The 15,806-nt window shown below is 50.0% G+C and overlaps 1 protein-coding gene across 5 annotated transcripts in view, besides 9 other annotated features; it reads left to right on the forward strand.

Moving 5' to 3' along the window:
- PRRC2B (proline rich coiled-coil 2B) overlaps positions 1-15,806 on the forward strand; it is a 126,543-nt gene that overhangs the window by 15,042 nt on the left and 95,695 nt on the right. For 4 of the 5 annotated variants that reach the window (NM_001384818.1, NM_001384823.1, NM_013318.4 and 1 more), the window contains exon 1: positions 5,394-5,571. The exons of the other annotated variant lie outside the window; for it this stretch is intronic. The gene's annotated coding sequence lies outside the window, so the exon portion shown is untranslated. Of the gene's footprint in view, positions 1-5,393; positions 5,572-15,806 lie in introns of those variants that run through there. 5 annotated transcript variants of the gene reach the window in all.
- Positions 4,618-4,767: an enhancer, noted in NCBI's record as "active region_29187". NCBI's record gives its function as "activates an Ori minimal core promoter by ATAC-STARR-seq in GM12878 lymphoblastoid cells {active_cell/tissue: GM12878}" and the evidence as "EXISTENCE:reporter gene assay evidence [ECO:0000049][PMID:35858748]".
- Positions 5,238-5,427: a silencer, noted in NCBI's record as "silent region_20413". NCBI's record gives its function as "represses an Ori minimal core promoter by ATAC-STARR-seq in GM12878 lymphoblastoid cells {active_cell/tissue: GM12878}" and the evidence as "EXISTENCE:reporter gene assay evidence [ECO:0000049][PMID:35858748]".
- Positions 5,458-5,567: a silencer, noted in NCBI's record as "silent region_20414". NCBI's record gives its function as "represses an Ori minimal core promoter by ATAC-STARR-seq in GM12878 lymphoblastoid cells {active_cell/tissue: GM12878}" and the evidence as "EXISTENCE:reporter gene assay evidence [ECO:0000049][PMID:35858748]".
- Positions 5,798-6,087: a silencer, noted in NCBI's record as "silent region_20415". NCBI's record gives its function as "represses an Ori minimal core promoter by ATAC-STARR-seq in GM12878 lymphoblastoid cells {active_cell/tissue: GM12878}" and the evidence as "EXISTENCE:reporter gene assay evidence [ECO:0000049][PMID:35858748]".
- Positions 5,798-6,655: a biological region, named in NCBI's record as "H3K27ac hESC enhancer GRCh37_chr9:134269973-134270734".
- Positions 5,894-6,655: an enhancer, noted in NCBI's record as "H3K27ac hESC enhancer chr9:134269973-134270734 (GRCh37/hg19 assembly coordinates)". NCBI's record gives its function as "activates a minimal SCP1, AML or CMV promoter by ChIP-STARR-seq in primed H9 embryonic stem cells {active_cell/tissue: H9 hESC(primed)}" and the evidence as "EXISTENCE:reporter gene assay evidence [ECO:0000049][PMID:30033119]".
- Positions 7,418-8,179: an enhancer, noted in NCBI's record as "H3K27ac hESC enhancer chr9:134271497-134272258 (GRCh37/hg19 assembly coordinates)". NCBI's record gives its function as "activates a minimal SCP1, AML or CMV promoter by ChIP-STARR-seq in naive H9 embryonic stem cells {active_cell/tissue: H9 hESC(naive)}" and the evidence as "EXISTENCE:reporter gene assay evidence [ECO:0000049][PMID:30033119]".
- Positions 9,797-9,876: an enhancer, noted in NCBI's record as "active region_29188". NCBI's record gives its function as "activates an Ori minimal core promoter by ATAC-STARR-seq in GM12878 lymphoblastoid cells {active_cell/tissue: GM12878}" and the evidence as "EXISTENCE:reporter gene assay evidence [ECO:0000049][PMID:35858748]".
- Positions 12,575-13,566: an enhancer, noted in NCBI's record as "H3K27ac-H3K4me1 hESC enhancer chr9:134276654-134277645 (GRCh37/hg19 assembly coordinates)". NCBI's record gives its function as "activates a minimal SCP1, AML or CMV promoter by ChIP-STARR-seq in primed H9 embryonic stem cells {active_cell/tissue: H9 hESC(primed)}" and the evidence as "EXISTENCE:reporter gene assay evidence [ECO:0000049][PMID:30033119]".

Below are 15,806 nucleotides of genomic sequence, written 5' to 3' on the forward strand. Positions count from 1 at the left end.
GCCACTATGCTCAGCTAATTTTTGTATTTTTAATAGAGACAGGGTTTCACCATGTTGGCCAGGATGGTCTCGATCTCTTGACCTCGTGATCCGCCCTCCTTGGACTTCCAAAGTGCTGGGATTACCGCACCTGGCCCCTCCTTTTACCTTTTTTTTTTTTTTTTTTGAGACGGAGTCTCGCTCCGTTGCCCAGGCTGGAGTGCAGTGGCATGATCTTGGCTCACTGCAACCTCCCCCTCCCGGATTCAACCAATTCTCCTGCCTCGTCCTTCCAAGTAGCTGGGACTACAAGTGCATGCCGCCACTCCTGGCAAATTTTTTGTATTTTAGTAGAGATGGGGGTTTCACCATGTTGCCCAGGCTGGTCTCGAACTCCTGAGCTCAGGCAATCCACCCACCTTGGCCTCCCAAAGTGCTGGGATTACAGGTGTGAGCCACTGCGCCTGGCTCCTTTCAATTTTTTTTTTTTTTTTTTTTGAGACAGAGTTTCGCTCTTGTTGCCCAAGCGGGAATGCAGTGCTGGGATCACGGCTTACCACAACCTCCGCTTCCCTGGTGAATCAAGCGATTCTCCTGCCTCAGCCTCCCAAGTAACTGGGATTACAGGCATGCGCCACCATGCCTGGCTCAGTTTTTGTATTTTTAGTAGAGATGGGGTTTCTCCATGTTGGTCAGGCTGGTCTCACACTCCCAACCTCAGGCAATCCGCCCACCTTGGCCTCCCAAAGTGCTAGGATCACATGCATGAGCCACTGTGCCTGGCTGGGCAAGTCACTGAACTTTCTGATGCTCTATTTTCTCGACTGTTAAGTGCAGGTATTCAAAACACCAGGTATGTTTTCTTCCTCTGACACCTTGCTGGATGCTTTGTCCCCATAGTGGTGACAGTAGGGGAAGGGAGGCTGGGCACCCACCTCCAGGCTTGCTGAGGTTTGGAGGCTTTAGTGCATGTGCTTATTTGGCTGGTTTTGTGAGCCGTGTGTTTTGTGTGGTTGGTCAGGAGCCATGATTTTGGCCTCAGTTGTCCAGGCATCCACTTTTCAACCACCATGGAGATTGAGTGCTTACTTTGTGCCAAGCTCTCTTCTCTGCTTGGGGATCCCAGCTGGAGAGACACCACAGTGCTCCCCACCCAATTTTCGCAGGTAGAAACTCTTAGGCACCAAAAGGCTAGCTCTGCTGGTTGGAGACAGAACCAGAACTAAAACCTCGGAACATGGTTGTTTTTTTTTTTGTTTTTTTTTTTTTTGAGATGGAGTCCTGTTTTGTCGCCAAGCTGGAGTGCAGTGGCGATCTTGGCTCACTGCAACCTCCAACTCTTGGGTTCAAGCGATTCTCCTGCCTCAGCCTCCCGAGCGATTACAGGTGCCCGCCACCACGCCTGGCTAGTTTTTGTATTTTTGGTAGAGACAGGGTTTCACCGTGTTGGCCAGGATGGTCTTGATCTCCTGACCTCGTGGTCCTCCCGCCTTGGCTTCCCAAAGTGCTGGGATTACAGGCGTGAGCCACTGCGTCTGGCCTGTGTTTGTTTTATTGACTGTAGTGGCCCTTCTCTGCCCAGTTCAACAGCATGGCCCCAGAGCCTGGCACAGTGAGCACCAGAGTGCAGGTGCCCAGTGAATGAACGGACGAACTTTGATTCCCAGGGCTCTCCTCTGGGCTAAGCACTTTGCAGGGATGGATGACTGCATGCCATTCTCTCCATGAGGATGGTCAGGGAGGTAGGAGATGGCTGAGCTGGATTTGAAGCCAGGTCTCTTCTCTCCCAAGACTCCTAGCTTGCCTTTTTTTTTTTTTTTTTTTTTTTTGAGACAGAGTCTTGCTCTGTCGCCCAGGCTGGAGTGCAGTGGTGTGATCTCAGCTCAGTGCAAGCTCTGCCTCCCAGGTTCATGCCATTGTCCTGCCTCAGCCTCCCGAGTAGCTGGGACTATAGGCGCCCGCCACCACGCCTGGCTAATTTTTTGTATTTTTAGTAGAGATGGGGTTTCACCATGTTAGCCAGGATGGTCTCGATCTCTTGACCTCGTGACCCACCTGCCTCGGCCTCCCAAAGTGCTGGGATTACAGGCGTGAGCCACTGTGCCCTAGCTTTTTTTTTTTTTTTTTTTTTTTGATACAGAGTCTCGCTCTGTCGCCCAGGCTATAGTGCAATGGTGCAATCTCGGCTCACTGCAACCTCCACCTCCCAGGTTCAAGCAGTTCTCCTGCCTCAGCTTCTTGAGTAGCTGGGATTACAGGCACATACCACCAGGCCTGGCTAATTTTTGTATTTTTAGTAGAGACAGGGTTTCACCATGTTGGTCAGGCTGGTCTCGAACGCCTGACCAAGTGATCTGCCCACCTCAGCCTCCCAAAGTCCTGGGATTACAGGCTTGAGCCACTGTGTCTGGCCCTAGCTTGCCTTTTAACCCTTCCCTCGCTGTGTTGCCTTCAGCAAGTCTCCAAGGTTGTACTAGTTTTCTATTGCTACATTACCACACATTTAGTGGCTTATGTAACTTTGTTATCTTAAAGTTCTGGAGGTCACGGTGGTTGGCAGGGCTCATTTTCTTCTGGAGGCTTTAGGGGAGAATCCATTCCTTGTCCTTTGTAGCTTCTAGAGGCAGCCTGCATTTCTGGGCGTGAGGTCCTGCGTCATTCCTTTGTCAGTCAATATGATGAACTCCGCTTCATCAACCACATCTTCTCCGACTCCGACCCTCCTTCCTTCCTCTTGTGAGGACCCTTGTGATTCCACCTGCCCAACCAAATAATCCAGGATTCATCTCTGCATCTCAAGATCCTTAACTTCATCCCATCTACAGAATCCCTTTTGCCAGAGAAGGTACCATTTTCACAGATTTCAGGGATCAGGACTTGGACATCTTTGGTGGGGGGCATTGTATTGCCTCCACAAAGTCTACTTTTCTTCTCTGTTGGATGGGCACACTAGTGTCTGTTTTATGGGTATGTCGTGAGGATTACCTGAGTGACTCTATAGGGAGTGTTTAGCACAGTGGCTGTCACATAGTAAGTGCTCAGTAAACCACCCTGTTACTGTTCAGCCTCCTCCTATCATTTTGTTTTGAGACAGAGTCTCTCTCTGTTGCCCAGGCTGGAGTGAAGTGGCGTGCTCTTGGCTCACTGCAACCTCCACCTCCTGGGTTCAAGTGATTCTTGTGCCTCAGCCTCCCGAGTAGCTGGGATTACAGGACCCCACCACCATGCCCGGCTAATTTTTGTATTTTTAGTAGAGACGGGGTTTCACCATGTTGGCCAGACTGGTCTCAAACTCCTGACCTCAGGTGATCTGCCTGCCTCGGCCTCCCAAAGTGGTGGGATTACAGGGGTGAGCCACCACGCTTGGCCTTACAAATAAAGAATCTGAGGCTTCAGATAGTTTATTTCTTTTTTGCTTGTTTATTTTCTTTCTTTTTTTTTTTTTGAGATGGAGTCTCACTCTGTCACCCAGGCTGGAGTGCAGTGGCATGATCTCGGCTCAGTGCAACCTCCGCCACCCGGGTTTGAGCAATTCTTCTGCCTCAGCCTCCCAAGTAGCTGGGATTACAGGCGACTGCCACCATGCCTGGCTAATTTTTGTATTTTTAGTAGAGATGGGGTTTCACCATATTGGTCAGGCTGGTCTTGAACTCCTGACCGCATGATCCACCTGCCTCGACCTACCAAAGTGGTGGGATTACAGGTGTTAGCCACTGCGCCAGCCTTACAGATGAAGAACCTGAGGCTCAGTTTATTTATTTAATTTATTTTTTATTTGTTTATTTGCCTTCTATCATTTTTATTAGTTGCTGGGTTTTGAGCACTGGGCCAATTCTATGGCCTTCCTGAAGATGGTCAAGGAACAAAATCGAAAACAAAAATTAGGGTTACATCCTCCCTGTTTTGTAGAGATAGCGAAATATTGAAGACATTGGCAGGGGAATAATGCAGATTTGATGATGTAAAACAGAGTGGCCGGCACTGTAATCCCAACACTTTGGGAGGCCAAGGTAGGTGGATCACTTTAGCGCAGGAGTTCCAGACCAACTTGGCCAACATGGTGAAATCCCATCTCTACCAAAAATACAAAAATTAGCTGGGCATGGTGGCAGATGTCTGTAATCCCAGCTACTCAGGAGGCTGGGGCAGGAGAATCGCTTGAATCTAGGAGTTGGAGGTTGCAGTGAGCAGAGATTGCGGATTGTGCCACTGCACTCCAGCCTGGGGGACAGAGCGAGACTGTCTCAAAAAAAAAAAAAAAGAAAAAAGAAAAAAAGGATAACACTGAAAATGACCATGGATAAAATGTAGGAAAATTCAGAGAATTATAAATAAGGCTATAAAAGTATCCAGAATTCTACTCCCCAAAAACTAAGCTTTGTTCACCAGCCTCAGTTCTGGAGTTAGGCTGAAGTGGGTTAATTTTCCTTCTGGGTCCAGCAGTGTGGCCTGGGGCACATTCTCTCAAAGCCTCCTTTGTCTCACCTGTGAATTAGAACAATAATATCTGCCCCTGGGTTAGGATTAAGTGAGACAAACCACGTGCTTTAGCATAGGGCATGGCCCGCAGCTGGTGCTTAGAGCAACCGTGACTGGAAGAGGGTGGGATGATTTGGGTGCCAGGCCCTAACATTTTTTTTTTGTATTTGCTTTTTGAAATTGCTTTTATAGTTGGTTAGGTGTCTAAAAAAGTAAGAACCCTCCTCCGCTCTCCCAACCTCAAACCACGGAGGTAACCAAGACAGGAGTGCAGTCTCCCGGACCTTTTGTTTTGCAATCACACAAACACACAACACTCAAGAGGAGGGGCTTATTAGTTTTCATTTTGTAAAAATGGGACAAAGTACCCATATTGTGCAACAACCTTGCTTTTGAAATGAAAAAAGTATTATTTCTGCTTCCTTTCCGTTCATATACCGTATACATATTTTAACAAAATCCGGGCTTAGTCTGTTCTGAGGCGCTGCAGTTTTGAAGGGGGAGGGGGCGGAGATCCGGGCTCGCTCCCCCGTCACTGCCCCCTCCATCCCTTCCCCCTCTTTCCGGGCGCCCTTCCCCCGGGCCCAGGCCGGGCCCATGCCCTTCCCAGGCCCCTTCTCTTGGCTCCTGGCCCCTCCTCCGGGTCTCCTCCCCGATCCCCGCTCTGCCCCGTTCTCTCCCGCCTCTCCCGCCGTCCCCGGGCCCCTCCCCACTCCCAGCCCCCTCCCAGCCCCCTCCCGCCGCTCCCCGCCCCTCCCCCCTGGCCCCAGCCCTCGCCCGGCCCCCGGGCCGATCCCAAGGCCGCCGCTCCCGGGAGGCGCGGCAGGGGGCGCTGCGCGGGCCCAGGTTGCGGGCGGCGGCGGGAGGAGGAGGACGAGGAGGCGGGGGCGGCGGCAGGCGGGGGGCGGGGAGCCGAGCGCGAGGGAGCGAGCGGCGAGACAGGCGCCGAGGCTCCACCGCGCAGCGACGAGCGAGCCCGGGAGGAGGGAGGGAGCGAGCGAGCGAGCAGCCCGCGCCGCCGCCTCGCAATCCGCCGCCATCCCGCCGCCCCCGTGCCCGACCGCCGCCCGACTGCCATCGCCCGGCCCGGCCGCGCCCGCGGAACCAGACCAGGTGGGTCGGGGCCGGGGCCGGGGCCGGGGCGTGGGGGCGGCGGCGCTAAGATGGAGGCGGCGCGGCCCGGCCGGGCTTTGTCTCCCGCGGCCGCCGCCGGGGGCCCGGGGGCCCTGCGGCCCTGCCCGACCTTTGTCCGCGAGCGCGGCCGCCGCCGCCTCCTTCCCGCCGGGCGCGGGGCTGCGGGGCTGGGAGGCCGCGGGGCCTGGGGGCGGCGGGCCCGGGCGCGCTCGCCATTGTTGTGGCGGCGCCGCGCGGCCTCAGGCTCGGGCGGGGTCCAGGGGCCGCGCGACTCCCTCAGGGCTCGCCCGCCACCCCCGTACCCCCGAGGCCGGGCCGGGCTGCAGAGGCCGGAGGGGCGGGGGTCCCGGGCCCGCAGCCGGGTCTCGGGGTTCTGGGGCCGGCGTCTTTGCTCCCCGCCCCGCCCAATTGACGGAGCAGCGCGCCCGAGGCGGGATCCTGCGGGGTCGGGCCTTGGGTCCGGGGCGCTGAGCGGCGTTCGCGGGGCCGTTCCTGGCGCGGGGTGGGCCGGGCCCCGGCGGCGCTAAAGTTGGCGGCTGGGGGAGGGAGGCGAGCGGCCGCCCAGTCTCGGTGTGAGTGCGGGAACCAGAGGGTTATTTTCGAAATGCTGAATGCTCCATGCTAAAAATGTTTAATAATAAACAGGATGTCGCCACTCGGGGCCTGCCAGATGGGGTTTTTTTTTTTTTCCTCCTCTTTTGCCTCCCCTCAACCCCCAGGAGAGAAATTCAGCCCTGTTGAAACTGTGGGCCTCTGAAGAGTGGATTTGCCTTAAGAGGTGGATTTTTTTCCTTTTTCTTTTTTCCTCCTTCTAAATATCGTGGGAGGTCGGAGCCCACCTTTAGGCAAGAATTGGAGGTGTTTTCAGTGGTGAGCTTGAAGGAAGTGGGAGAAGGGGGGCTGGGGAGTGTCTTTTGCTAAATGGCTTCCTGGGAGAAATCTTTAAATGCCTTTGGTTTACAGGACTGTTAAACTTTCCCTAAGATTTTTTTTTTCTTTAAGGTTTAGTGTGCATTTGATGTGGCTTTGTACAGTGTCATCCAGTTTGGTTTTTGTAACCAATTGTGTGCGGTCTTAGCATGGTTTTTCCGAATCTCGCTGCAGCCATTTAGTCATGTCTATGCACAGCGCTGTGGTGTAAGGTGGGACTGGGGAGGCCCAGGCATTGGGGTGCAGATCCTGCTTCTTTCTTCCGTAAACCTAGTGACTCTGGGGCTGTCTGAGGCTTCATCTGCATAAATCGGGGCGTGCACCCTCCACCTGGCAGGTTTGGGCAGCGGTGAAGGGCCTAGCAGAGGGCCTGGCACAGTTAGTGGTTCCTCCTACGGTTGTTGGTATAACTGCTGTCAAGTCCTAGGACAGACGTGAGCCCCTTGTGGTGCCACCCATAGAGCCAAACTGTGCCCATGGATGCCACAGGTGCTGGCCTAAGGCATGGACAATACAGAAGGAATTCAAGGCCCAAACATTAGTGGGCGCTTATACAGTGCTGAGCCTCTCGGGAGGCAGGGATGGGAAAAAGTAGCATTTGGAGGTCTCTAGAACTTAGTAGACCCGGAGTGTGTGGCAGTTGGTCAGTTTAAGGCAGGGTTAGAACAGTACGAGATGCTCAGGACAAACAGACGCCCAAGGAGTCCTGCCTTCTGAGGATAACTGCTTTCCTTGGGGATTGGCAGATAATCATCTGAGAGTGAGTTTCTACTTGTTTGGGCAAGTGTGTCTCTTGGAGCCTGCGCAGCTGGATTCTGGTCCTCATCGGGTTACCTTTACAAAGCAAGTCTCTGAGGCTCAGATCTTGCATCTGTAAAATGGGAATAATTATGCCTGCCTTGGGTATCTATTAGGGCTCTTGGGAGCCTCACTTAAGATTCACAGTGAATTGTTTTCTCTCCATAGGAAGGTGATGAAATGTATGTGTTTGTTGATTATCTGTTTTTCTGGTTCCTTTCTCCTTCCTTCCTCCCTTGCCCTCTTCCTCTCTCCCTCCCTCCCTTTCCCTTCCTTTTCCTTCCTTCCCTTCCTTCTTTTTTCTTTTCTTTTCTTTTTTTTTTTTTTTTTTTTGAGACAGTCTCACTCTGTCGCCCAGGCTGGAGTGCAGTGATGTGATCTCAGCTCACTGCAACCTCCGCCTCCTGGGTTCAAGCGATTCTCGTGCCTCAGCCTCTGGAGTAGCTGGGATTACAGGCATGTGCCACCACACCTGGCCAATTTTTGTGTTTTTAGTAGAGACAGGGTTTCACCATGTTGGCCAGGCTAGTCTCAGACATCCGACTTCAGGTGATTTGCCTGCCTTGGCCTCCCAAAGTGCTGGGATTACAGGCCTGAGCTACCGCGCCCGGTCTTCTTTCTCTTAATGCTTATTTTTTCCTCTTCTCTTGGTTGATGGAACTGTGACTTCCCCACCCCAAATTCTATGGCCGGCTAATGTTTTGCTATGGTGACTATCACCCATCTACCTGGAAGCACCAGAATGGCTTAGTACAGCTAGGGAGCTCAGCCAGATCTCGGTGTCTGCTGTTTGAGATTGTGTGGAAGGACTATTGCTAAGAAGCAGGAGACAGACTGAACCCAGTGTTGGCCACAAGTGAGGACTGAGACCCAGGTCACCTCTTGGCTGAACATGTTAGCTTGTTGGTAAATGGCTCTGCAGTGGTTCTGCATTTTATTGGGGAATTTGTTTTGGTTCATTTTGGCATTCCCGCAACCATCTTGTTGGTTTTTTGGTAAAATGTGGCACCCCCTCCAGACCTCCTAGCTGTGGAACTGAGATATTTTAGCAGGGTCCTGTCATCCTTTGATTTTTCCTCGCTTCCTGCCTCTTGGCCCTTCCTTTTTGTCTGACTTCACTCGGGCCCAGTCTGGCTCTATACTGTTAACTGGTTAGTTAGGCCAGGAGATAGTCGCTGCCTCTCCCATGAGCTTCTGCATACCTGTGAATTTTGGTTATCTGTGGCCCCCTAATGCTGATTGCATGCCCTTGCCTTAGGCCCTAAGCCCACTGTGTGGGCGTCCCATCTCGTACAGTGGCCGTCTCCAGCCTCCACTGGGCCCAAATAGGTAAAAAGAAAGCCTGGGGAAGGAAGAGCCAGGAAACCTCGGGAGAGTGGAATTTCAGGAATGGCAGGTCAGAACTGGTTCCAGCATGGGTCCCTTTGCCTTGTGCTTAGCTGAGGGATTTTTGTTATTAATTTTTTTTTTCCTGTTCAACACTCCTAACCTCTTTTGAATTTCAGTTCTCTTTTTTTATCCTGAAGGATTATTTTATTGTACTTTTGAGGGTTTTTTTTTTTTTTTTTTTTTGCCTTGCACAAAGTACTGACTCATGTTGCTAATGGCTGTGGCTGTATGCTAGTTATATGTCTCATTATCCTACCCCTTAAGATTGATCATTTCTGTGTTGGTTTCTATTTCAAACCAGAATAGGCCAGGTGGGTCAATTCATGTATTTCTGAATTCAATAATGAGGCTTCCCTACCGTGAAATGTACATATCTTGTCATGGGCGGACAGGTACTAAATAGAGCCTATCTATACTAGATTTTAAAACAATGGATTTCTCCCCAAAAAACAACATTTCCAGCAGACAATGGGCTTTGTGCTCCAAATCTTGTAATTTTGGTTTTAAATAAATTTCATGTAAGGAGGCAGGGCTAACTAGACTGTCTTCTTTTCAGATCATAACTTGATCTCTTTTTAAGATTATTTCTGGGACTTGTACAGCCTCAGGAAACTTGGGTCTGTCATTGGGACAAAGAAATACAGGCACTGGCTGTGGTGTTGGAGATGGGAGCGACATGGGATATGGTGAGCTTTGTTTCTGGTGAAATAGAATTGTTTGTCATTAGCTTTAGGTTTAAAAGGTGCCATTCAGACTGGACCTCCTCACCTGGGAGCTGGCAGACCTGGGCCTTGCCATTGGCGATATTACTGTTTATACCTCTGGGTGGCACGTGGGAAATCTCTTTTGTGCTGGGAGGTAGGTTTGTCTTAGTGTCTTGAGCCAGAAGTTGTGGTTGAGCTTTGTTCTCAGCTGTACTTGTTGGTTTTCTGTGTGACCTGAGAAGCATCCTTCGTCCGAGCTGAAGTGCACCTCCGAGGTGCTGGCAGCAGCACTGATTTGTGAAGCATTGCGTGCAGCAGGAGTAGCTGGCAGAACAAAGCCTATCTCAAGTTGCTGGCGGTCTTTCACATCTTGTACAGGACTTCCTTCCGTTCTTACCTCTGCAGCCAGTTGTGTGGCTTCCGTCTGGACCGTCTTCCTCCTTTCCAAGATAACCATCAGTCTTTTTCTCTGTGGGGCTGCAGCAGCAGTATTTATTGCATTTTTAATTGACTTGTCAGGCAATAGATACTCCTTGAGCACCTATCATTTGCCAGGCATTGTACAAGGCCCTTTAAATACATTTTTCTTGTGGTAGGGCAAGGTGGCTCATGCCTGTAATCCCAGTACTTGGGGAGGCCAAGGCAGGTGGATTGCTTGAGGCCAGGTTAAGACCAGCCTGGGCAATGTGATGAAAATAAAAAAATGCCTCTTAAAAGAAAAAATTAGTAGGGTATAGTGGCGCATGCCTGTAGTTCTAACTACTTGGGAGGCTGAAGCAGGAGGATCACTTGAGCTTGGGAGGTTGAGGTTGCAGTGAGCCGTGATCATGCCACTGCACTCTAGCCTGGGCGACAGAGTGAGACCCTGTCTCAAAAGAATAAAAAGTAGGTCGGGCACGGTGGCTCACGCCTGTAATCCAAGCACTTTGGCAGGCCGAGGTGGGCGGATCACCTGAGGTCAGGAATTCAAGACCAGCCTGGCCAACATGGTGAAACCCCGTCTCTGCTAAAAATACAAAAATTAGCTGGATGCCGTGGCGAGTGCCTGTAGTCCCAGCTACTCAGGAGGGGTGAGGCTGGAGAATCACTTAAACCTGGGAGGTGGAGGTTGCAGTGAGCCGAGATTGTGCCACTGCATTCCAGCCTGGGAGACAGAGTGAAATTCTGTCTCAAAAAAAAAAAAAAAAAAAAAGTCTGGGCACGGTGGCTCACACCTATAATCCCAGCATTTTGGGAGGCTGAGGTGGGCGGATCACGAGGTCAGGAGATCGAGACCATCCTGGCTAACACGATGAAACCCCGTGTCTACTAAAAATACAAAAAATTAGCCGGGCGTGGTGGCGGGCGCCTGTAGTCCCAGATACTCAGGAGGCTGAGGCAGGAGAATGGCATGAACCCGGGAGGCGGAGTTTGCAGTGAGCCGAGATCACGACACTGCACTCTAGCCTGGGCCACAGAGCGAGACTCCATCTGAAAAAAAAGGAAAATACTGAAAAGAATAAATGCCAAAATAAATATATAAATCACTTGTGACCTCACCATCCAGAGCTAACTGCAGTAAAGTTGCTGGTGTGTTTCTTTCCTCTGATAATGTCTGTGTTTTCTAAATTAGAGCAATAGTATATATACATTGAATACACAGTTGATAGCTTGCTTTTCCCCTTTTAATGTTATAGTGTATTCCTCTACGTTATTTTTATAATTATATAATTGCTATTATACGGATATGCCATAATTTATTGACTCCTGTATTCGTAGACATTTAGATTATTGTTGCCCTCTTTTCCCTCCTATAAGAGAAACTGTAGGGAGCATCTCGGCATGTTAAGTCTTGGTCCACGTGGCTGATTATCTCCCATAAGTGGAATTTCTGGGGTCAGAGGATTGCAGGTTTGTTCTTCTCTTCTGGACAGGATCGGTTGTCTCCTTCAGTCTTTGTCACCTCCCTCTCCAGCCTTGAGCCCAAGGCAGTCTCTTTCTTAGTTTTTTCTTTTTTGAGGCAGGGTCTCACTTTGTCGCCCAGTCTGGAGTGCAGTGATGTGATCTCAGCTCACCGTAACCTCTGCATCCTGGGCTCAAATGATCCTTCTGCCTTAGCCTCCCAAGTAGCTGGGATCCTATAGGCATGCGCCACCATGCCTGACTAAGTTTTGTATTTTTTTGTGGAGACGGGGTTTCGCCATTTTGCCCAGGCTGTTTGTTTTTCTTTTCTTTTCTTTCTTTTTTTTTTTGAGATGGCATCTTGTTCTGTTGCGCAGGCTGGAGTGCAGCCGTGCGATCTTGGCTCACTGCAACCTCCACTTCCTGGGTTCAAGCAATTCTCGTGCCTCAGCCTTCGAGTAGCTGGGATTACAGGCGTGCACCACCACACCTGGCTACTTTTTGTATTTTTAGTAGAGACGGGGTTTTGCCATGTTGGCCAGGCTGGTCTCGAAATCCTGACCTCAGGTGATCCACCTGCCTTGGCCTCCCAAAGTGCTGGGATGACAGGTGTGAGCCACCGTGCCTGGACACCCAGGCTGTTTCAGACTCCTGGACTCAAGTGATCCCTCCGCCTCCGCCTATCAAAGTGCTGGGATTACAGGCATGAGCCACGGCACCCAGCAAGGCAGCCTCTTTCATGAGCCACTAGGTTCTGGGGGGTCTCAGTCCTGGTTAAGCCCTTTGATGAGTGGGGCTTGAGGTCTTACTCCATTTACTGGTTTGAACCTGGAGAAGCCTTTTGTCTTAAACAGTTTTTGTTTCTAGGGACATGGATGCCCCATTGACTCCTGGGGAGATCCTGGTCTGGTGGGGAGGAGGCCCTGGAGAGCCCCCCACCTAACTTTGGCCTCATCCTCTTGTGGTTTCTTTCTTTCTTTTTTTTTTTTTTTGAGACGGAGTTTTGCTCTTGTTGCCTAGGCTGGAGAGCAATGGCGCGATCTTGGCTCACTGCAACCTCTACCTCTCGGGTTCAAGCGATTCTCCTGCCTCAGCCTCCTGTGATTTCTTCGGAGCCCCCTACAGTTTCTCTTTATAGCAGTTTTCACAACTTGTAAATAGGTGTTTTTTTCTTTATTTGAATTTTAAAAATTGTGGTGAAGTATACATAACATAAAATTTACCATTTTTAAGTGTACAGTTGAGTGGCGTGAAGCACTTTCACAGTGTTGTGCAACCATCACCACCATCCATCTCCAGAACGTTCTCATCTTCCCAAACTGAAACTCTGTTCCCATTAGATGCCAACTCCCCTCCCCCATCCAGTGGCGGCGGCCACCATTCTTACCATTCTTTCTCCTTTTTTTTTTTTTTTTGAGATAGGGTCTCACTGTCGCCCAGGCTGGAGTGCAGTGGCACGATCTTGGCTCACTGCAACCTCAGCCTCTTGTGTAGCTGGGATTACAGGCACACGCCACCACACCCAGCTAATTTTTGTATTTTTTTGTAGAGACGGGGTTTCACCATGTTGGCTAGTCTGGTGTCGAACTCCTGGCCTTAAGTGGTTTGCTTACCTCAGCCTCCCAAAGTGCTGGGATTACCGGCATGAGCCACCGTGCCTGGCCTAGTTTTTGTATATTTTATTTTATTTTATTGAGACAGAGTTTTGATGTTGCCCAGGCTGGAGTGCAATGGCGCGATCTCGGCTCACTGCAGCCTCTGCTTCCTGGGTTTAAGAGATTCTCCTGCCTCAGCCTCCCGAGTAGCTGGGATTACAAGCGCCTGCCACCATGCCCAGCTAATTTTTGTATTTTTAGTGGAGACGGGGTTTCACCATGTTGGCCAGGCTGGTCTCGAACCCCTGACTTCAGGTGATCTGCCCACCTCGACTTCCCAAAGTGCTGGGATTACAGGCGTGAGCCACTGTGCTTGGTCTAATTTTTGTATTATTGTTATTATTTTTGAGACAGAGTCTCGTTATGTCTCCCAGGCTGGAGTGCAATGGCACGATCTCGGCTCACTGCACCTCTACCTCCCGGGTTCAAGCGATTCTCCTGCCTCAGCCTCCTGAATAGCTGGGATTACAGGTCTGGCTAATTTTTGTATTTTTAGGAGAAACGGAGTTTCGCCATGTTGGCCAGGCTGGTCTCGAACTCCTGAGCTCAAGCGATTTGCCTGCCTCGGCTTCCCAGAGTGCTGGAATTACAGCCATGTGTAATCCCATGGTGGCAATGTTGAGCCACCTTGCCCTGCCAACCATTTTACTTTCTTTCTGTGAAACCGAATACTCTTAAGTACCTCATGTAAGTGAGATCATCCAGTATTTGTCATTTTGTGTCTGGCTTATTTTTAGCATAGTATTTCCAAGGTTCATCCATGTTGCAGCATGTGTCAGAACTAACTTCATTCTTAAGGCAGAATAATATTCTCTTATTTGCATGTATCTACCACATTTTATTTATTCATTCAGCGACGGGCAGCAGCCTGTAGATAGTTTTGTTTTCATGTATTGAATGGTCCTTTCCCCCAGTGGAGTGAGTAAATGCATCCGGAAGCAGAATTCTGTTGTTTCCCATTCATCACTGTGTGCCAGGTGTCTGAGAAGGGGGTCTTATAGGAGCCCACGCAGAAACCAAGCTCACCTCAGTCTGGGTGTGGGGCAGTCAGGGAAGGCATTCTGGAAAATGTAGCTGACTCGAAATAAGCACCTATTGAAAATAGTGTGCTGAGCCCTGGAACATTAAAAATGTGTTCCTATGTGGAAATCAGAAATGTATGGGTCCCAGAAGAGAACTTGTGGGTCAGCCTGCTTTCCAGAGAGTGCCGAGGCCCTTTGAATGGTGAACATTATGCAAGCATTCTTGTATGGCCAGTGGCCAGCAGGGAGGAGGGCAGAGAATGACTGTGCCTCCGGGAAGCCGGCGTCAACTTCCCGACACGCTTCAGGATCATCTCTTTGTATAGAACCATGGGATGGATCGCTGCAGGACCTACTGGAAAAAGGAGGTCATCTCCAGGACTCTTTCCATGGGTCCTTTGTGTCTTGCAGAACTTTTTTCGGCAGGTGTTGTTTACATATGGTTCAGAGCTTAAAGAACAGCTGTGTTCCAGGCCAGGGCAGAAAGCACAGGCCTGTCTGGGAGGGGCATCATCACTCCTGCCTGCCTGCCCAACCGACCTGTCGGTGGACTGAATGGGCCAAGTGTTCAGAAGTCCTTGGGAAGAGGATAGTGTCCTGAATCATAATGTGGTATTTTCTGGTTTTTTGTTTGTTTGTTTGTTTTTGGTAAAATGTTAATTGCAGAAGTATACAGGTTATTTTATTTATTTATTTATTTTTTTTTGAGGTGGAGTCTTGCTCTGTTGCCCAGGCCGGAGTGCAGTGGCATGATCTCGGCTCACTGCAACCTCCACCTCCCAGGTTCAAGCAATTCCCCTGCCTCAGCCTCTTGAGTAGCTGGGAGTACAGGTGCATCCCGCCACGCCTGGCTAATTTTTTTTTGTATTTTAGTAGAGATGGGGTTTCGCCTTGTTGCCCAGGCTGGTCGCAAACTCCTGAGCTCAGGCCATCTGTCCACCTCAGCCTCCCAAAATGCTAGAATTACAGGCGTGAGCCACTGCGCCTGGCCCATACTTTAAAAAAAAAAAAAAAAACAAAATTAAAAGCCAAGTGTTTGAAGAGAAATGAAAGCTTTTCCCCAATGTCCCAGGCAGTAACCATTATTGATAAATTTGCTTTGTTTATCCTTCTAGGCTCAGTGCACGTATAAATATGGCCTCATGTAGGGAGGTTTTTTAAAAAACAAAAATGGGATATACTATATTGTATTGCAACTTGGCATTTTCAAAATATCACAGTATTTTTCCATACGTATTTTTAAGCGTAACTTCTCTTATTTTTATTTTCAGTAATACTTTTTTTTTCTTCCTTAGGGATGTGGGGGTGGGTCTCGCTATGTTGACCAAGCTTGTCTTGAACTCCTGGCCTCAAGCTGTCTTCCCATCTTGGCCTCTGAAAGTGCTAGGATTACAGGTGTAAGCCACCACACCCAGCCATTTTTCCATATTCATGTGAACAGACCTGCCACACTAAGTGTTTTAAAAATAATGTTAGGTTTCTAAAAAATATACAGGTGTGTAAAAGAAGAAAAAATCGTTTATAATCCCATGGTTTAGATATTCCCAGTTGACTTTTTTTTTTTTTTTTTTTGGTGGTGGGGACAGAGTTTTGCTTGTTGCCCAGGAAGGCAATGGCGTGATCTTGGCTCACTGCAACCTCCGCCTCCTGGGTTCAAGCAATTCTTCTGCCTCAGCCTCCCTAGTAGCTGGGATTACAGGCATCCGCCACCATGCCTAGTTGATTTTTTTGTATTTTTAATAAAGACGAGATTTCACTATGTTGGCCAGGCTGGTCTCGAACTCTTGACCTCAGGCGAGCCACCCGCCTCAGCCTCCCAAAGTGCTGGGATTACA

Source organism: Homo sapiens, chromosome 9 (genome assembly GCF_000001405.40).
Source record: "Homo sapiens chromosome 9, GRCh38.p14 Primary Assembly".
Lineage (NCBI taxonomy): Eukaryota > Metazoa > Chordata > Mammalia > Primates > Hominidae > Homo > Homo sapiens.